This window comes from Homo sapiens, chromosome 3 (genome assembly GCF_000001405.40).
Source record: "Homo sapiens chromosome 3, GRCh38.p14 Primary Assembly".
NCBI lineage: Eukaryota > Metazoa > Chordata > Mammalia > Primates > Hominidae > Homo > Homo sapiens.
Genome location: NC_000003.12, coordinates 178,941,519 through 178,963,617, shown reverse-complemented (window position 1 = coordinate 178,963,617; position 22,099 = coordinate 178,941,519). Strand labels below are relative to the sequence as shown.

At 37.7% G+C, this 22,099-nt stretch overlaps 1 long non-coding RNA gene across 3 annotated transcripts in view; it reads left to right on the top strand.

The window, feature by feature from the left end:
• The window catches only part of LOC124906307 (uncharacterized), a 97,668-nt gene that overhangs the window by 42,416 nt on the left and 33,153 nt on the right, over nucleotides 1-22,099 (top strand). For all 3 annotated transcript variants that reach the window (XR_007096179.1, XR_007096177.1, XR_007096178.1), the window contains one exon: nucleotides 2,055-3,656. This is a non-coding gene — a long non-coding RNA (uncharacterized LOC124906307). Of the gene's footprint in view, nucleotides 1-2,054 lie in introns of those variants that run through there.

The window sequence follows — 22,099 nt, the reverse complement described above, 5'->3', positions numbered from 1 at the left end:
ACTATAGTAGGTAATCAATTGACCTTTGGCCAGCTTCTTGATCATCTCTGGACTAGGCCAATCTGATAAGCAAGAACCTTGCAGTCTTGAATTATTTTTATATCAAGAGATTATTCGGTTCTAATCTAAGGATGAAAACAGACACAACAAACTCAAATGCCTATGGGGGTACCGGCAAGTAGTGTTAATGAGTACAGAAGACTGGGTGAAGGATAATCAAAAGGATAATCTTAGTTTCTACTTTTCCTTTCAATTTTTAATTCAAAATGTATTTAACATAAAGACATTTTTACAGAAAAATATTTTCCTACCACAAAAAGAAAAATAATACAAATGAAATAATTGATGATAGCTGACATTCATCGTCAGCATTAGGAAGACAATAGAGGCAGGGGGACTGTAAAATATTGGAAATTACTTGCACTGTCTGAAAAGAAAAGTCATTATGAACTATCACCAGATTCTTTCTCAAGAAAAGGCAGGTACTCATATTTTTGTGTAAAATATGTAGATTTTGTCAGCTCAGTGTTTTAAAAGGTACAATGAGAGCTAAATAAAGCCTATTTTTCAGCCAGAGGTTACTGGTTTGTAGCCTCTGGAAGAAAGGGTATCTATCTTGTAATTGTGTTCGTGGGCATGTGCAGGTGAAAGAATAGATGGGAAAATAGATAGAGTTATTTTGTACCACAATAGCCTGAAGTCAATAGTGAAAGATTACATTTATCATCCTTTAACTGGATTGTATTATAAGTAGCAGTGGTTTTCAAGTCAGAGAAGTAAAAGGTCTGGAAACTGATAATAATGGGCTTATAGATTTATAAAGTAAAAAAAGAACTTCCTAAATATTTAAAATGAATTGATATAATCTATGGACAATCATAATAGGTGAGCCTTTTTCTCTGTGTGTACAGGGTAATCTTCAATTGTAGCAATTTGCATCTTGATGGATGGGTTATTTTATCTAGAATTTTGAACTCTTCCTTTATTCTGTAAAAATACAGGTTTAGGCAATTCTACTTTTCTCTTTTACTATGAGACTTTGAGAAAATGTAGACAACAAATATGCTTAAAGGGAAGAAGAAACTAATTTGTTGTAAATTTCTGCTCCATGTAGTCCCATCCTACCTGTGTAGAATGAACATTTCTGGAGACTTCCCTGCCTCTCTCCTTTCACTGATGACAGTCCAGCTGCAAGTTGCAATGGGGCAATGGCTCTTTTTTAGTTAGTGTCTAGAAATTGGGACTTTCAGAATGGTAGAGTGAAGAATATAGCAAATCCTCTTCCTCTCAAAATAATAATAACACTAAACAAGACTCTAAAAATCAACCACTTGAGAAATCTCAGAATTGACCAAGGACATTCAGAAAATTGATTAGTGTTTATTTAAGAAGATCTACTAAACTCTGGGTACAAACAATGAGAGTCTGTGCTGTATTAACCTGGGCTGCTTCCCTTCTACCTCCCACAGTCCCATCATGTGATAGCTTGGACAGAATAGGGCAATTCCTACTCAGCTAAGATGAATTTAGCTGCTGGCGGGGGCTGACTTGGTTTGGAGAGGGGAGCAGAAAACCCCACACCCTCGGGTGTTTGTTATCACATATGGTTGGCAAACAAATGTTGCAGCTAGCCCAACATTATGATCCTGGTTTTGGTAAGAAGCAGAATACCAGCAAGAAGTCAGCAAACCAGTGAGAAATTTAACAGAGAGATAGCCATAGTGGGACTTGGTAAACTCTTACTTATCCATGATGATTTGGAAGGCTGCCCAAGGCTGTGCACATTCTCAGGAGTTATCCACAAATCCTTGGCTGAACATGAGGGCTTCAGCCAGAAAGGTCCAGGGGGAAGTAAAAGCTGGAATAGGCTTGTAAACAATGTGCTTGGTATACTGGGTTGAATATTGTCCCCTGCAAAGATAAGTTCAGGTCCTAACCCCTGGTACCAGTGAATGTTACCTTATTTGGAAATAGAGTCTTTGCAGTTGTAATTAAGATTTTTGAGATAAGTTCATTCTAAATCACCCTAAATCCAATGACTGTTGTCCTCATAGGAGAACGGAAAGAGAGATTCAAGACACACAAAGAGGATAAACATGGAGTTGAAGGCCATGTGAAGATGGAAGCAGAGACTGGAATGATGCATCACCATCAAGAATTGCTGGCACCCACAAGAAGCTAGGAGAGAGGCGTGGGACAGATTCTCCCTCTAAACCTCCAGAAGAAACCAACTCTGCTGACACTGTGATTTCAGACTTCTGGTCCTCACAACTGTGAGAGAATTCATTTCTGTTGCTATAAGCCACCAAATTTGTGGTAACTTGTTCTGCAGCCTTAGGAAATTAACACATTTGGTGTGTTAATTAGGTTGATAATTAGGTCAACTTCCCATAAGTGAAAGCCTGTGGGAATGTTGGGCTAAGAGACCTATTTCTGATTTCTGGCTCCACAACTTATTAGTTTGTGGTCATAAACATTTAACCTCTGTGAACCTCAGTTTTCTTATCTGTAGAATGGGCTTCCTTGAAGGAGCCTTCTCCTGAATCCAGTCTGTAAAAAACTTTTGTTCTCTAGGCAAACTTTCCCTTTATCTCTACACTTAGGCCCTGTGTTAATTATTTTTGCTTATCTTTGATTCTATCAGACTGAACAAATTCTCTGAGGGCTGAGATTATATGATGTTTACCTTAATGGTAATGATACCTATAACACAGCAGGTATCCTCAATCCATGCTTATATGGTTGTTTGGAGGAGTAAGTCTGGTACTTGGTAGCAATGGTTATCTATGATAATTATTTATGACTGTTTTTAAGATTTGTAGTCTTCTTTTTCATTTTTAGTCACACATCTGTACATCCCTCAGGGAAAAGGCAGAATTTAGACTGTTTTTTTGAGAAACATGTATACTTAAGCTCGTGGAGAGGTTCAAGGAAAATGCTGTAGGTGAAGGATACAACAGGAAATGAGCGTGGTCTGCTCACAGGATGCTAGGAGCCTATCTGCATAGAGGGGAAGCTTCATTCCTGCATAAAAAGATGTATTCTTAGGTATTCTTAGCTGTATTGTAAGTTCCCTTTCCCTTAAAGCATGGTATGCAAACTCTATAGTATAGGATCCACATTTTTGCACGTGTTTCCTTTTTGTTAAACTTATTTGTTTATATACATGACCTCAACATGTTTGTGGCCTAGGGTCATGTGTGGTGAAACTAAATGGGATCACAGATCTCAGAACTATGGCCAGACCAGCTGTCCGAATCTGGGATTATCTCCATCTATAAATAGTGACTGGGCACAAAATCAACTAGCAAAATTAAGGGTTATAGGGCTTGGGTATTTGGGGAAAAAAAGAAAGGAAAGCATGCCAAGAAATCCAAGTGTTAGAAATTAACCCTCCAGGAACAAAAGCAGTGGAAAGCTATAGGCAACCGCAATTGACAGCAATAAATCTCGTCAGGAATGGAAATGTATGAATTGGTAAAAAGGAAAATATAAGGTGTTTTGAGATGCTAAACTCCCTCTGTATCAGAACTGTGCTGCCTGTTTTTGAAAAAATAATTCAAAGGATTTCACTCTTTAAGGGTATTGCACATGAAAAATTGAAATCTTTATATTCATAAAACAACTGCATGAATAAAATTAGCATTTAAAAGGGAGTTCTTCACATCCCATGCTCATGGATGGGTAGAATCAATATTGTGAAAATGACCATACTGCCAAAAGCAATGTGCAAATTCAATGCAACCCCCATCAGAATACCATCATCATTCTTCACAGAATTAGAAAAAAAATTCTAAAATTTATATGGAAAGAAAAAAGAGCCTGCATAGCCAAAGCAAGACTAAACAAAAAGAACAAATCTGGAGGCATCACACTACATGATTTCAACCTATACTATAAGGCCATAGTCACCAAAACAGCATGGCACTGGTATAAAAATAGTCACATAGACCAATGGAACAGAGCAGAGAACCCAGAAATACACCCAAATACTTACAGCCAACTAATCTTCAACAAAGCAAACAAAAACGTAAAGTGGGGAAAGGATACCCTTTTCAACAAAGCAAACAAAAACATAAAGTGGGGAAAGGACACCCTTTTCAACAAATGGTGCTGGGATAATTGGCTAGCCATGTATAGGAGAATGAAACTGGATCCTCATCTCTCACCTTAGACAAAAATCAACTCAAGATGGATAAAAGACTTAAATCTAAGACCTGAAAATATAAAAATTCTAGACGATAACATTGGAAAAACTCTTCTAGACGTTGGCTTAGGCAAGGATTTCATGACCAAGAACCCAGAAGCAAATGCAACAAAAAGAAAGATAAATAGCTGGGACCTAATTAAACTAAAGAGCTTTTGCATGGCAAAAGGAACAGTCAGCAGAGTAAACAGACAACCCACAGAGAGGGAGAAAATCTTCAAAATCTATACATCTGACAAAGGACTAATATCCAGAACCTACAATGAACTCAGACAAATCAGTAAGACAAAAACAAACAATCCCATCAAAAAGTGGGCTAAGGCCATGAATAGACAATTCTCAAAAGAAGATATACAAATGGCCAACAAACATATGAAAAAATGCACAGCATCACTAATGATCAGGGAAACACAAATCAAAACCACAATGTGGTACCACCTTACTCCTGCAAGAATGGTCATAATAAAAATATCAAAAAACAGTAGATTTTGGCGTGGATGCGGTGAACAGGGAACACACTTCTACACAGCTGGTGGGAATGTAAACTAGTACAACCACTATGGAAAATATTGTGGAGATTTCTTAAAGAACTAAAAGTAGAACTACCATTTGATCCAGCAATCCCACTACTGGGTATCTACCCAGAGGAACAGAAGTCATTATTTGAAAAAGATACTTGCACACGCATGTTTATAGCAGCACAATTCACAATTGCAAAATTGTGGAACCAACCCAGACGCCCATCAATCAATGAGTGGATAAAGAAACTGTGATACATATATATATATGTGTGTGTGTGTGTATATATATATATATCAAGTCCAGCCTGGGCAATGTAATATATATATATATTATATGTGTATATATATACATATAATGATATGTGTATATATATATTATATGTGTATATATACATATAATGATATGTATATATATATTATATGCATATATATACATATAATGATGTGTGTGTGTGTGTATATATATATATGTATATATATATATATATATATATATATATATGATGGAATACTACGCAGCCATAAAAAGGAATGAATTAACAGCATTTGCAGTGAACTGGATGAGACTGGAGATTATTATTTTAATTGATGTAACTCAGGGATGGAAAACCAAACAACATATTTTCTCACTGAGAAATATGGTGCAGTGTATACTGCTCCAGTGATGGGTGCACCAAAATCTCACAAATCATCACTAAAGAACTTACTCATGTTAACCAAATACCACCTGTGCGCTGATAACTTAAGGAAAAATAAAATAAAATAAAATAAAAAGATGTTTTTGGTGAATGGCATAAAAAGCCATATGTACTTTCTTAGAAGGCATCACATGTTGTTAAAATTTCTGGCATCATATAAAATTACGAGCAGAATTAGAAAGATCCTCACTCCATTATTATTTTGGTAAATATTATGCGTGTAATGCATATAAATTGCAGAAAAATTTAGAAGCTTTAGCTAAGTATGAATTTTTTTCCCTCAGAGATGGGTCTCATTATATTGCCCAGGCTGGACTTGAACTCCTGCCCTCAAGTAATCTTCCCACCTCAGCCTCCCAAGTAGCTGGGACCACAGCACTCAACTTAGCTAATTATAAATAAAAAAGAAAATCACTAATTTTCCACCACCCAAAGCTAATGGCATAAACCTTTTTTGTTTTTTTTTTTGAGACAAAGTCTCACTCTGTCACCCAGACTGGAGTGCAGTGGCACGATCTTGGCTCACTGCAACCTTCGCCTCCCTGGTTCAAGTGATTCTCCTGCCCAGGCTTTCCGAGTAGCTGGGACTACAGGCGCATGCCACCACACCTGACTAACTTTTCTATTTTTAGTAGAGACGGGGTTTTGCCATGTTGACCAGGCTGGTCTTGAACTCCTGGCCTCAAGTGATCCACCCATCTCAGCCTCCCAAAGTGCTGGGATTACAGGCGTGAGCCACTGCACCCGGCCAACATAAACATTTTTATGTGAATCCTCCTAGATGTATTATGTATATCATGTTAAAATGAGCTTTCACACTATTATTGATACATTCTTGATATTAGTTGAGATATTGTATAGCAATAAGTTTTCAGCCACTTTTAAAGGGGGATTAATTTATGTAGACATGAATCTATTCTTTAAGTTTCTCAAATATATTATTTGTTGTGGAAAAGAGTCTATTTCTATCACCCATCTATCTAATCTAGCTTTTTTTTTTTTAGCTAGCTAGCTTCCCTGGGTCTGGACCCCTTCCTTTATTTTGGGAAGTCCCATGGCTGAACCTGACTTTCATGGTAGAAGCTGAAAATACCAGATACATGTTCCTTAACCTGGCTTGCAGTTAGGGTCCAGGGTCCAGAGTGCAACAGCTGCAGGGGAGGTGAGCCCACCAATCTAGTCTGTGACCTAATTTTTGCTCCTGTCCTGGCTGCTGCCTAGTCTCTCTTATTCCTGTCTATTTTCTTAGCCTGTATCTCCGTATTTTGGTGATTCTGAAAACTACCCAGAAATCCTTTAGAAAATACTTTCCTTCTTAAATGAGCCAGTCTTTTTGTTACTCACAACTCAGAACGCCGATCCATAGAGCACTCTTCTCAGTTTCACCCAGAAAATAGAAGATCTAATTGTCTTCAGTAGGATAGTGAGCCATCTGGATTTTAACCCTCTCCCAGGGGCCTAGGAATTTAGACCCAGAAAGAATTCTGGAGATGGTTTTGTCATCTGCATAGATTGAGGACAATCATGCACTATAGTGGAAAGAGCACCAGGCTCGGAGCCAGAAGAAGCCCTGGATTCAAGGTCTTACTGTCACTCTTAGCTGTGAGATATTGAGAAAATCAGTCAATTTCTTGGGCTATATTTGTATGTATATGTAAATTTGTGTGTATCTGTCTATGACCTCTAGAGTGAGGGACTTAAACTTGAATTTCCTCCGCATTAGAAGATCTTTGATTTTAATCAGATCCAGAAACTTTAGACTTCACATTATAGCTCCTAATTCTGAATTCTCAGTCCTAGTAATTACATAATGCTAAGTAAGTATAAATAATAATTTGAAAATCAAAGAAATAAAAAGGGAATCAATCTATATTCTTCTTTTGCAAGTTTAAACTCATTTGACCTTTTGATGAATCAGTAGCCCCACAGATACCCGACTGGAATAATTTATATGGATGAAAGGACATTTACGCTCAGGTTCATAGCTAAACACATGAATTACGCTTTCACAATTATAAATTATTTGTTTCCTCTATGGTAGCTTCTTACGTTATGAAAGAAAGCTCTTAAATGTTATTAATAAGTATCTGTGTTACCTGTGATGCCTTTCCCTACAGTCTCTCAAGGACTCAAAATCTTATCTCAGGTGAAACTTTGAAGATATAATTGACCTGTACGTTCATAGTTAAGCACAAGTCAGTCAACGTTATACTATCCAGTTTAGATGTTTGTGTAATGAGTACTTTCATCTGCTTCCTTTGATGTATAACCGATTAGTGACAGCAGCATAAATATTCATAGCATTTTCCTACTGGACAGAATCTAGTCCAACTTCTATGTTTTACAGATGAGACTAAAGAGACTGAGAAATTAAGTGACTTGTCCAAGATCACGTAACTATCTTCAAGTTGAGTGGTAAATCTAAGACTAGAACCCAGGGCTTATTATACCTTAAGCAATATGATGTCTAAGGCAGTGTTTCTCAATGGCTGTTGAGACCCAGAGCCTTGTTCATAGTGGGTACTCAATCACTAAATGCTGACTGTCAATAGATTTTAGTACAGTGTAATTTCTGCTATGACATGTGTACTGAGGAATCAAAGAAAATACTCAGGAGTTAAATTTTTAAAAACAGAATTGAATATTTTAATTCTGGGAGACTGTGATTTATTTTGGTACTTAGGTTTTAGATTCAGGCTTCAAGTTGCTAAAATCTCAAACTGTTAATACTATATTGAAATAGATGATAACTGACCCAATGTCTTTCATTCTGAAAGCTCAGGTTGGTGTAGGATGATAGTGACATTGCTTGTCTCTTTAAATAACTAATAAGAATATTAATGTTGATGTAAAGCAGGTGGTGGGGCCATTTAACGTGTGCTCTGATTAACAGGCCATTGCTATTCTGTCAAGGTATTTGACATACACACACCGTGGCTCAGTGATGATGCTCTCTTCTTGTTTGGGTAAGGATTATTTGCTTAGATTATGATCTGAAGTCTTTATAGTGTATTAAGTCACTTATTTAAATGTGGCTAAAGCAGAATGGCAAATCTTCTTCAACAGTGTGTAATGACCTAGTTAAAATATAATTTATCAGATGAGATTGATATGTTCTGACAATAATGCACAATCGAGTTAAATTAAAGGAGAACAGAGATAAAATTCTGCGGGGGATGTGTTCAGAAATATGTGTGTAGATTTATTTTGGAATCTTGGTAATTAAGATGCAGCTGATCTGATTTATTAGACCTCTTCTGCCTCCTTTCATATTTCACTGTCATCTCTTCCCAATTTTAGGATCATCTCTCATTTTCTGCTTTAGTGCACTGACATTTTCCTTCTCTCCAGTGAGAAGCTATTGGACCTGTTTTCATACACAAAAAAGTAGTCTTTTTACATCTTAAAGTTTGCAGTTAGTTCTCTAGAGTTAGAGGTCCTATTTGAATAACATAAATTGAAAAAAATATTCTTTGATACTTGTAGATCTTGAGTTTCCATAGTCTTTTGGGGGTATATTTCTGGCAAAAGTGAAGTGGCTTTGAATACTCTACAGAGAGTACTCTGCTCTGAGATTTTTTCACTGTGGTATTACTCTTTAACAGAGTTTGGTTTGTGACAGGGACCTTTCCATGTTCAGTACCTACAAGGTACTGTGAACATTATTTCTACATTGGTGTTAATTAAGAAGACAGGAGAGTAGCAGAAATGACCTGGGATAAACAGTGACATCTATGGAAGAAGGTAAAAATAAGTATGCTTTTTAATTGCCAAAAAAAGCGTTGCATTGTGTGCAGAATATTTTCAACAAATGTTCTGTTCTCTAACATGCCAGTTACTCTATTGTTTCATTACCTGATACTTCTGTGAGGTTACAGGACAAGAAAATTTATAATAAGGATGCCCTGAGGCATCGTGAGATTACTAAATCCCTTTTAAGCAATTGGTTTCTAATTTTAAAAAGTGAGTGGAAACCTTTAAAAAATGAAATCATACATGAAACCACCATATTAAACAGAAAAAGCAGATGTGTTTGCTGCCTGTGTGGATTGTAGTATTGGAGGGGCTGAGCCTGGCTTACTTGGCCTCCCTGTATTAGCTCTCCCCATGCCTGGATTTTCTGGCATAATTTTCATGTAGCATATTTTAAAAATCAAATTCTAATTTGGAAAATATTAATCTATACTTAATGTAGGCTGAGATTCTCTATTAACTAAAATAGAAAGCTCATTTCCAGACCTTACTAGATAACAGTATATTAACTGTGCAAGGCAGATTTTATAAGTAGGTTGAGTAAATGGCTTCATTTATGATTACATTTGAGGGGTGTCAAAGGTCCCTGGGAAAAAGTATCTGCTTTACAAGATTAGAGGTCACACTGGAAAGAGAATTCTGAAAAGACCCTTGATTCAAGTGGCTTAAGTAATTACTTTATCTGCATAACATAATACATTAGGGAGAAATTCGACCCAATTCAGCATGAATGTGATGAATGTCTATGATACATGAAGCACTGTATGTATCTTTCAGGAATGCAAAGATGAATAAAACAGATCTTGCACTCAGAAAGTTTACAGTTTGATAGTGAAATTCAGTTTAGAGGAATATGAGATAATCTATCTAATTCAACCGCCACATTTTGTCAAGAGGATCTGTTACTGTATGACTTACCCAGGATCCCACAGCTGGTTATGACACAAACCTGACAATTGTTTGGCTGTTCACCAACTTTTCCTACATCTCCAAGAAAAATTAAATTCAGTTCTTAGTGTTTTTCTTATTCCACATTTAAAATAACAAAAGCAAACTACAGAAGAACGATTCTTGAATAAACCCCATGCACTCATCCACAACCAACCTATGGCAGCTTCTGTGCCATCCATTCCCCTCTCAGTCCATGTTATTGAATGAAATCCCAGACATCATGTCATTTAATTTGTGAATACTTTAATATGTATCTGTAAAAGATAAGGATTCTTATTAGAAATACATAAGCCCAATACTGTTGCCACTCTTAAAAATCTAACAGTAGTTTCTTAATATCATAAATTATACTAATAATATTAAAATTCCCAATTGTCTTATGAATGTCATGGATACATTTTTCTTTATTTCCCCCTCAAAATCAGGATCCCAGCAAGATCCTCACTGCTAATTGGTTGACACATTTTTAAAGTCTTTTAATCTATAGGTTCCCCTCTGCGTCCCTTTTTTCTTGCTAGTTTTTGTTTGTCCTCTAGAGTTTTCCAAATCTGATTATTCTTGCTGAATTTCTGTGACGTAGTTCAGTAGTTCACTATGTTCCTCTGTCCTTGGTATTTTCTGCAAATTGGTAGTTACCTCTAGAGGCTTTATCAGATTCAAGTTAGATTACTTTGGTGAGACTGCCTCACAGATTGGACTGTGGTCATTCATCTTCCATAAGAAGACTCAGACACAGAATATCTGGTTCTTCCTCTCACTCTCTTTCTGAAAAGGGCAACAATTGATGGCAATCAGTGCCTAGACCCTTTAGTTCATTAGGGATTGTAGAATAGTAATATTCTAATTCTATCATTTTTACAAATTTACTGTCTAGAATACTTTTTTATTTTTTATTTTTATTTTTTTCTATAGGTTTTTGGGGAACAGGTGCTGTTTGGTTACATGAGTGAGTCCTTTAGTGGTGATTTCTGAGATTTTGGTGCACCCATCACCCAAGCAGTATACACTGTACCAAATTTGCAGTCTTTTATCTCTCACCCCCTTCTATCCTTTACCCCCTCCCCCCCGTGTCCCCAAAGTCCGTTGTATCATTCTTATACCTTTGCATCCTCATTTGGCTGGAATATTTCTGTAAAGAGAAACTTTCTATATTCATTTGTTTTCTGTTGCTTATAACAGAATGACTCGAATCAGGTAATTTATAAAGAGAAGGAGTTTATTTCTTACAGTCCTGGAGGCTGAGAGGTCCAAGACCAAGGGGTCACATCTGGTGAGGGCCTTTTTGCTGGTAGAATCTCTGCAGATCCCTGAGATGGTACAGGGCATCACATGGACAGGGGGCTGAGTTCTGTCCTCCTCTTCTTATAAAGCTACCAGTTCCACTCACATAATAGCCCATTAATCCATACCAATTAATTCATTTGCCCTTTATTCCATGATCCAGAAATGGATTAATTTATTCATGAAGGTCCTCATGATCCAATCACCTCTTAAAGGCCCCACCTCTCAGTATTGCCACATTGGGGACTAAATTTCAACATGAGTTTTGGAGGGGACATTCAAGCCATAGCAATTCCCTCATTCACTATTTGCTGGAGTTTGTGTAGTAAAAGCAGGATCAATATTTGGTTCTTTCCCTTTATTTACAAGTTTTCAGAATAATGAGTTGGTTTCTTATCATCCCTCAAGAGTATCAATAATGACTCCCCACTTCTTTCTTCATTATTGAGATGGTTAATTTTATATGTTAACTAGACTAGGCTAAGGGATGTTCATAGGGCTTGTAGAAGATTATTTCTGGGTATGTCTGTGAGGGTGTTTCCAGAAGAGATTAGCATTTTAATTGGTAGACTGAGTACAGAAGATTGCGCTTACCAATGTGCGTGGGCACCATTCAATCTATTAAGGGCCTGAATAGAAAGAAAATGTGGTAGGAGGGTGAATTTTGCCCTCTGTTTGAGTTGAGCTGGCACATTGATCTTCTCCTGTGCTTAACATTAGCACTCCTGGTTTGGACTAGAACTACACCACTAGCTTTTCTGGGCCGCCAGCTTGCAGATAGCAGATTGTGGGACTCCTCAGCCTCCATAATTATGTGAGCCTTCATAATTATGTGAACCTCCATAATAAATCTCTTTCTCTATATATCTCTTTAGTTCTGTTTCTCTGGAGAACCCTAATACAAGTATCATTGGGAACTCATAGGATTTAAGTGAATTTGATGTGTTTTAATCCATTGCAGTTATTATTCTTATTCATGTACAAATTTCCCCATCTTTGGTCAGCAAGCCCTTCTTGACTCCTAGGTCCTCTCGACTTGACCTCAGTAGTTTTTGATAGCTTTCCTGCTATCTGTCAATAAAAAGATTTTTCAGGTTTATCTTTTATATTCCCTTCTCATGTATCAAAATTTAAGAGGAAAATACAAACATTTCTTAATAATTTTCCTGACAAGGAATGGTAAGGCTGAGTTTCAGTGGTTTCTTCATGGTTATTACCTTTACAGGACAAACCCTCAGGCACTGGTTCTGAATTTGAGTCTGCACTACACAGAAGCATAGCTACCTGGGACTCCTCCTACCTTCATTGACAGTGTTCCAGGATCTTGTCTGAGTCACTTTTGCCAGCCTCAGGTCTTGTAATTTCTGTACTGAATAAATCTTTCCTCGTTGCTTGATTTTTTAGCAGTAAAATTCTTCAATAGGAAGTGATTCATTGTACACATCCTGTCCTGTAAATGGTCAATTCGGCAAATGCCTTTGCTTCTCTTTTTAAAACTGTCAAGTTTCTCTGACTATGTATTTTCCCCCATCATCTCTGTTATGAATTATGTTCCCCCAAAAGAGATGTCCCCAATATCTCAGAATATGACCTATTTGGAAATAAGATCATTGCACATGTAATTAGTTAAATTAAAGTGAGGTCATATCAAGGTAGGGTAGGCCACTAATCCAATATGTTTGGCATCCTGATAAGAAGAGGGAAGATAATGTGAAAAGAGACACACAGGGAGAACCCTATGTGACCATAGAGGAAGAGATCGGAGTGATGCAGCTACAAGCCAAGGAACGCTGGCCACCACTAGAGCTAGAAAGAGGATTCTCTCCACAGTCTGAGGGAGAATAGCCTGCTAACACCTTGATTTTAGACTTCTAGCCTCCGTAACTGTGAGAAAATAAATTTCTGTTTCTGTAAGACACATAGTTTGTGGAACTTTGTTAAAGTAACCCTAAGAAATGAATGCAATAATCTTTGCCAGTAATATACTACATGGACCAGTCTAACTACAGTCATGTGCCATACAATGATGTTTTCAACAATGTTCTTATAAGATTATAATGAAGCTGAAAAATTCCCATTGGCTAGTGATGTCATAGCCATCCTAATGTTTTAGTGCCATGTGTGACTCATATGTTTGTGGTGATGCTGATGTAAATAAACTGGCTGCTCTAGCAGTTGTATAAAAGTCTAGCACATACAATTATGTACGGTACATCATACTTGATAAATAAATGACTGTATTAGTCCGTTCTCATGCTGCTAATAAAGACGTACCTGAGTCTGGGTAATTTATAAAGGAAAGGGGTTTACTGGACTCACAGTTCCACATGGCTGTGGAGGCCTCACAATCATGGCAGATGGTGAAGAAGAAGCCAAGGCGTGTCTTACATGGCAGAAGACGAGAGAGGTGCAGGGGAACTGCCCTTTGTACACCATCAGATCTTGTGAGACCTATTCACTATCATGAGAACATCACAGGAAAAATCTACCTGCATGATTCGATTACCTCCCACCAGGTCCCTCCCATGACAAATGGGGACTGTGGAAGCTACAGTTCAAGATGAGATTTGGGTGGGGACACAGCCAAACCATGTCAATGACTGTGTTACTGGTTTGTGTATTTAATTATGCTATACTTTTTATTATTATTTTATTGTTTTGATTTTTGTTTTTTGCGACAGGGTCTCACTCTGTGTCCCAGGCTGGAGTGCAGTGGCATGATCATGACTCGCTGCAGCCTCAAACTCCTGAGCTCAAGCAATCCTACTGCCTGGCTAATTTTTTAATTTTTGTGGAGATGGGGTCTTGCTATGTTGGCCAGGCTGATCTCCAGCTCCTGGGCTCATGCAATCATCCTATTTTAGCATCCCAAAGTGTTGGGATTACAGGCATCAATCACCGTGCCTGGCCACTATTTTAGAATGCACTTCCTCTACGTGTAAAAAAAGTTAGGTGTACAACAGCCTTAGGCAGGTCCTTTAGGAGGTATTCCAGAAAAAGGCATTGTTATCATAGGAGATGACAGCTTCATGTGTGTTATTGCCCCTGAAGACCTTTCAGTGGGAAAAGACATGGCGGTGGAAGACAGCGATAGTGATAATCCTGAACCTGTGTAGGCCTAGGCTAATGTGTGTGTTTATGTCTTAGTTTTTAACAAGAAAAGTTTGAAACATAAAAAAAAATAAACAATTTAAATATAGAAGATGACTTACAGAATAAGGATATGAGGACATGAGATATTTTTGTATAGCTGTACAATATGTTCATGTTTTAAGCTGTGTTATATAAAAGAGTCAAAAAATTAAAAAAATAAAAGTTATAGAAAGCTAAGATTGGTTTATTATAAAATTAAGAAAATAAATTTAGTGTAGTCTAAGTGTACAGTGTTTATAAAGTCTACAGTAGTGTACAGTAATGTCCTAGGCTTTCACATTCACTCAACACTCACTCACTCACTGACTCACCCAGAGCAGCTTCCAGTCCTGCAAACTCCATTCACAGTAAGTGCTCTATACAGGTGTACCACTTTTTATCTTTTATGCTGTATTTTTACTGTACCTTTCTTATATTTAGATATGTTATATACACAAATTCTTACCATTGTGTTACAATTGCCTAGAGTATTCAGTATAGTAACTTGCTGTATAGATTTGTAGCTTAGGAGTAATAGGTTGTACCATATATCCTAGGTATGTAGTAGGCTTCCCCATCTAGGTTTGTGTAAGTACATATTATGTTCATATTTCTCAGAGCATATCCCCTTTGTTAAGTGATGCATGATTGTATTGAGTCAATAATAGAGGATGTTTTCTAAAAATGGTGATTTAGGTTTTTTTTCAGATTAGAAAATAAATTGTTAGAATTTCTTAGTTTGCATTTAGCATAGAGAATCAGAGAATTTGGGTCAAATCCTTATTTAACTGATGGGGAAAGTGAAGCCTTAGGGAGGAAGGTGGCTTGCCCAAGGTTACATAGGTTATATGTGGGAGAAATAGAATCAGAACTCAGATTTCTGAATGCAAAGTTTAAAGACTTTTCCATTCCATACATTTTTCTGTTTAGCTTTAAATTATTTCTCTTTGCCTCTTTCTTCTTATCTTTGCAGTGAAATTTTAATAACATGAAATGCAGTAGGCTTAGTCAGTGGAGTATAGCATGGAGAGGAAAGGATAGTCCATACTTATGCCAAAAAATAAATTCTTTTATTATATTTGCACTAATTTTGTGAAAGTGGATTTTGGTTTTACTGGAACATTTTTGTAATCCCTCTGTCTCTAGGGGTCAGTGTGGCTTAAAGAAACTTTGTTCTACTTTGTTTCAAACTATATTCAGTTAACACTTAATTGAAGTGACTTTAATCAAAGGTGACAATAAAATGGTGCCCCAGGGGAACAGGAATTAATTCAAAATTACAACCATTATAAACTTTAACATATACAATAATATTGATGTTGGCACATGGAACTTTTCACTGAGCCCATAGGTTTTAACGACTGGAAATAATTGAACTAACTCTTATACCTTTTAGCATGTAAATTATTAATTTTTTTGTTTAAAAGATATATGACTCTATATTAGTCTGTTTTCTTGCTGCTGATAAAGACATACCTGAGACTGGGAAGAAAAAGAGATTTAATTGGACTCAACAGTTCCACATGGCTGGGGAGGCCTCAGAATTATGGTGGGAGGTGAAAGGCACTTCTTACATGGTGGCAGCAAGAGAAAATGAGGAAGCAAAAGTGGAAACCCTTGGTACCCATCAGATCTTGTGGGACTTATTCACTACCATGAGAACAGTATGGAGGAAACCACCCCCATGATTCAAATTATCTCCCACTGGGTCCCTCTCACAACACATGGGAATTATGGGAGTACAATTCAATATGAGATTTGGGTGCGGACACAGAGCCAAACCATATCAGACTCCATTCCAGATTCATTTTAGAAAGAGATGTTTGTGCTTCTTGTTTGAATGAACATTTATGACTAGTCACATTTGTTCTTCATAAAGACATTTTGAAGCAGATTATATATGATGAATATATATGATGTATGTAAGATGAATATATATATTTGTATACATATATTTCATCCTTAAGTGGCACTTAATGAAGAAGAGGCTTCGTGAGCTACTCGAGATGGAAAATTTTCATGGGAAAAAATGGAATGTCATTGAAAAGTTTGGGAAATCTTTGTGACAACTATCAACTTTCTTATCCAAAAAGCTTTCAAAACTCTTTTCCTCTCCTGTTGCCTCTTCCTCACTCTTTCCTTTCTTATCTTATTGGGATAGCGTAAGGTTGAACTGCTGACAAAATTAATAGGTTTCGTGCCATTAATAAGAACTCTCAGATGAGTTTGCCTATTGAAGTGCTTATCAATGAACACACAGTAATACTGAGACAAGGATAGGATAGGAAGGGAGACATGTTTCCTGAGTATCTCTTTGGGGCCAGGCAGCTGCTAAGTAAGAATGTGCCCCTCCCTGCCACCATCTCAACAGTTCTGCTGTTGTTTGTTCCCTTTATTGGAGTTCCATGGGCGATTTTATTTGTAGAAAGAATCCAATTGTTAAGATTCAAAAACCCTGTATAGTAATTACAGACAGTAAATTATAAGTAGAGTAAGGGTGGCTGAATAGAAGCAGCAAACATGCTTAAGGCAATGCAAAGCAGTAGCTAAATTCTGATGATAAGGCAAGAGAAAGAAAAACCAAAAGTGTGGACCAAGAACTTCATAGCAGTGTGGGGCCATTTTGTGTATGGAGAACTGACTCTGCATACTTGTATGGACATTATTACCTTTCTCATCAGTTAATATTTATTGAACTCTTAGGGTGTGCTGGGCGCTGTTGTAATTGCGGGAGATACTAAGAAATATTTAGCACAGATTCTGCCCTAAAGTTTGGTTGACGTAGAAAGAAAATGTGTCAAAAAAAATACCCAAGTTACTACAGCCTATATGATATTGGAAAGTACTAGAAAAGTTCAGAGGAAGGAGGAATTATGGAAAGTTGGATTGGTGTGGAAAGGAATCACAAGCAAGTACAACAGATACTGATAGCTTTTTATCAAAACTATTTCATCTTATCCCTGGGCCCACAACTTCCCTTGCCATCTTAGATGTGGCCACGTGAATGAGTTCTAGCTAATGGAATATTAGCCATGCCCTGTGCCATTTCCAGGCCTAATTCATGAGGTCCTCTCATGCATGTTCCTCCATACACTTTCTCTTTGTGCAGCAGTGACATTGGAAGCCAAGGGTTAAAGATAGCAGAGCCATCAGATGGAAGAGCCGGGGTGCCTGGGTTCCTGAATCACCAGTTGGAGGAGAGCCACCTGACTAACAGGAATACCCAGTTTAGACTTTATGAGAGCAAGAAATAAACTTCAATTGTGTTAAACAGATACAGTTTGGATCTGTGTCCCCACCCAAATCTCATGGCGAATTGTAATCCCCAATGTTGGAGGTGGGACCTGGTGGAAGGTGACTGGATCATGGGGCCAGATTTCCCCCATGTGCTGCTCTAGTGATAGTAAATGCTTGAGAGATCTAGTTGTTTAAAAGTGTGTGGCACCTCCCCCATCTCTCACTTGGTCCTGCTCCTGACATGTAAGACGTGCCTGCTTCCCCTTTACCTTCCACCATGGTTAAGTTTCCTGAGGCCCCCCAGGAAGCCAAGCAGATGCCAGCATCATGCTTCCTGTACAGCTTGTGAAACCATGAGCCAATTAAACCTCTTTTCTTTATAAATTACCCAGTCTCAGTTACTTCTTTATAGCAGTGCGAGAATGGACCAATACATAAACCATTGAGATTTTGGTGTTTTTCTGTCATAGAGCTTATGTTACTTAACTAATACAGAAAGTGAGACTAGAACAGAATGTTGAAGGATATTTAGAATATAGACAGTCACAGAAAATGCTGAGGGCATCTCAGACAGGAAGAATTAGATGACCAATGTCAGGGAGAAGGAAATGCAACACAGGTGGCTGAAATGGAATATTAAAGGAAATTTGAAAGTTAGGTAGTCTCAGTTTATGGAGGCTAAGGCGTTTGCACCCAACTTTATTGCCGAGGTAAAAATTGGAAAGATAAAGGGAAATAATAATAATACTATACTTTACCAAAATAAAAGTTTATTGTTTCAGTGGTGGTGGAGGCATGTTATAGGAAGATTCATATGGAAGTGGTGTTTTGGATGGATTAGCTATTGATGAGGTAAGAGTGAAGGCAGAGATAACTTCCAGGAGAATGTTGGTGAAGACCTGAACTGGGTGATAGTGGAGGGGATAAAAGCAAAGGCTGAACATTTGAGTCTTTACTAAGTGTGAATGTGGTTGACTAACAGTGGGAGTACTGAGAAAGGAAAGAAGGAACATAACTTCCAGGTCCGTATATTAGCTCAGAACAGTGAGTGATCCTTGTAATTATGAACTTGAGGCATGAAGAAAAGAGAGTATAATGTTTATTGTTGTCTTTAAGAAAACAAGGTGGTATTATAATATGTTGTAGGAAGCTCATCATCAAACTAGTTAACATGTAAACACATCAGCATATGGCATGCACACAAATCCATCTTATCTTCCTGGGCACAAAGGAAGAGTATATTTCCCAGGTCAAAACATGTGGCTGAGTTCTAACCAGAAGAGTATGGATGGAATGCTATATACCACTACTAGGTCTGTCCATATATCCCTGGGTTTGATTCCCCGGCCTCTTGAAGGCTACATGTTTCAAATGATGAATTGCAATATGAAAGAATCCTAGATCCCTGAGTCACCACTTGAATGAGAGCTTTCCAGAATAGCTACCCAAACACATTAAACTGTGATTTGAGAAAGAAATACACTTTTAGTGCCTTAACCTCTAAGATTTTAGGGTGTATTTATTATAGTAGTATAGCTAATCTCTTTCTGAATAAAACACAACTTTCAGTTTTTCAGCAAACTTTTATTGAGAATCTAATATATTCAAAGGATGAGATATTTCTAAAAATCAGACTTTATTTATAACATCTCCTGGTGGAATATCCCTATGACAGCACTGTTCCAATGGATTTTTATCATCTTGAAATTCATAAAACTTTGAAGTCATCCATCTCCTGTTTACTCCCATCCTCCCATTATTTGAATGTTAGTTATTAAATTCTGGCCTTTGTGTCAGTTTTTAAAATAAAAATGTTGACAGCATATTTTGACTCTGCCTTTTATTAAATTACTTTTTGACAAAACTCTTAACAGATGAGAAGAGCTTGAAATAAAGAAAACTTAACTCAAAATATCTTTTCTGAGATAGCTTTGGGGGTGTTAACAGATATAGTTTAGATCTGTTTTATTTTTTCTTTATTTGACAGCCAGTCAACCTAATGATGTCATAACATCTGCCCACATACACTGGAGATTTGAGCAGAGATAAAAAACCTTGATCACCTTGGGAATTCCAGTTCTGCAACAAGAAGTTAAATAACCTGAAGATTTTACGGAAATGGATTTATATCTCCTCTCTCTGTCAGATCTATCTACCGTCACATTTGAATGTCAGAGTCTGATGTAAGCATTCCTAAAACAGTAATTTTCAACATACTCTTATATACTCATCATTATTTTTATTGAGTACTGTCTGAATAAGCAGATACCATTCTTAGGATGAAAACTGTAGGCAGACCTGATTGCTGGAAAACAGATTCTTCACCTCAGCTAATGTCATTATGCAATTCTGGAACAATTACATGTCAGTCAATTGGATAACCTAGAAGACATGAATGAATTCTTAGACACATACAACCTACCAAAACTAAATCACGAAAAAATATAAAATCTGAAGAGACCAATACTGTGTAAGAATATTGAATCAGTAGTAAAAAGTCTACCATCAAAGAAAAACTCAGGACTGGGTGGCTTCATTGCTGAATTCTACCACGCTTTTTTTTTTTTTTTGAGATGGAGTCTCACTCTGTCACCCAGGCTGGAGTGCAGTAGCACGATCCCGTCTCACTGGAATCTCTGCCTCCTGGGTTTAAGTATTCTTTGCCTCAGCCTCCTGAGTAGTTGGGATTACAGGCATGTGCCACCACACCTGGCTAATTTTTGTATTTTTAGTAGAGACGGGGTTTCACCACCTTGGCCAGGCTGGTCTTGAACTCCTCACCTCGTGATCCACCTGCCTCGGCCTCCCAAAGTGTTGGGATTACAGGTGTGAGCCACCGTGCCAGGCCGTATCAAACTTTTAAAGAGGACCTAATACTAATTCTTCTGAAACCCTTCCAAAAAAGCAAAGTAGAGGGACTACTTGCAAGTTCATTTTACAAGGCCAGAATTACTCTGATACCAAAGGTAGACAAGTACACAACAAGAAAAGAAAATTATCCTTCATGAACATAGATGCAAAGATCTTTAAAAAATATTAGCAAACTGAATTTAACAACATTTTGAAACAATCATTCACCACGATCAAGTGAGATTTATCTCTGAGATGCAGGAATGGTTCAACATATGCAAATCAATAAATGTGATCTGCTGTATTAAGAGAATGAAGAACAGAAACCATTTGATCATCATAATGGAGGCAGAAAAAGCATTTGGCATAATTCAACATCTCTTTATGATAAAAACTGTCAACAAATTAGGATAGAAGGAATGTACCTCAAAACAAAAAAGGCCGTATATGACAAACCCATAGCTAATATTATTCTGAATGGTAAAAAGTTGGAAGGTTTTCCTCTTAGATCAGGGACAAAATAAGAATGTCCACTCTTGCGCCTGCCATTGCCCAGGCTTGCTTAGGTAAACAAAGCAGCCAGGAAGCTCGAACTGGGTGGAGCCCACCACAGCTCAAGGAGGCCTGCCTGCCTCTGTAGGCTCCACCTCTGGGGGCAGGGCACAGACAAACAAAAAGACAGCAGTAACCTCTGCAGACTTAAATGTCCCTGTCTGACAGCTTTGAAGAGAGCAGTGGTTCTCCCAGCACGCAGCTGGAGATCTGAGAATGGGCAGACTGCCTCCTCAAGTGGGTCCCTGACCCCTGACCCCCGAGCAGCCTAACTGGGAGGCACCCCCCAGCAGGGGCAGACTGACACTTCACACGGCGGGGTACTCCAACAGACCTGCAGCTGAGGGTCCTGTCTGTTAGAAGGAAAACTAACAAACAGAAAGGACATCCACACCAAAAACCCATCTGTACATCACCATCATCAAAGACCAAAAGTAGATAAAACCACAAAGATGGGGAAAAAACAGAGCAGAAAAACTGGAAACTCTAGAAAGCAGAGCACATCTCCTCCTCCAAAGGAACGCAGTTCCTCACCAGCAATGGAACAAAGCTGGACAGAGAATGACTTTGACGAGTTGAAAGAAGAAGGCTTCAGACGATCAAATTACTCCGAGCTATGGGAGGACATTCAAACCAAAGGCAAAGAAGTTGAAAACTTGAAAAAAGTTTAGAAGAATGTATAACTAGAATAACCAATACAGAGAAGTGCTTAAAGGAGCTGATGGAGCTGAAAACCAAGGCTCGAGAACTACGTGAAGAATGCAGAAGCCTCAGGAGCCGATGCGATCAACTGGAAGAAAGGGTATCAGCAATGGAAGATGAAATGAATGAAATGAAGCGAGAAGGGAAGTTTAGAGAAAAAAGAATAAAAAGAAATGAACAAATCCTCCAAGAAATTTGGGACTATGTGAAAAGAC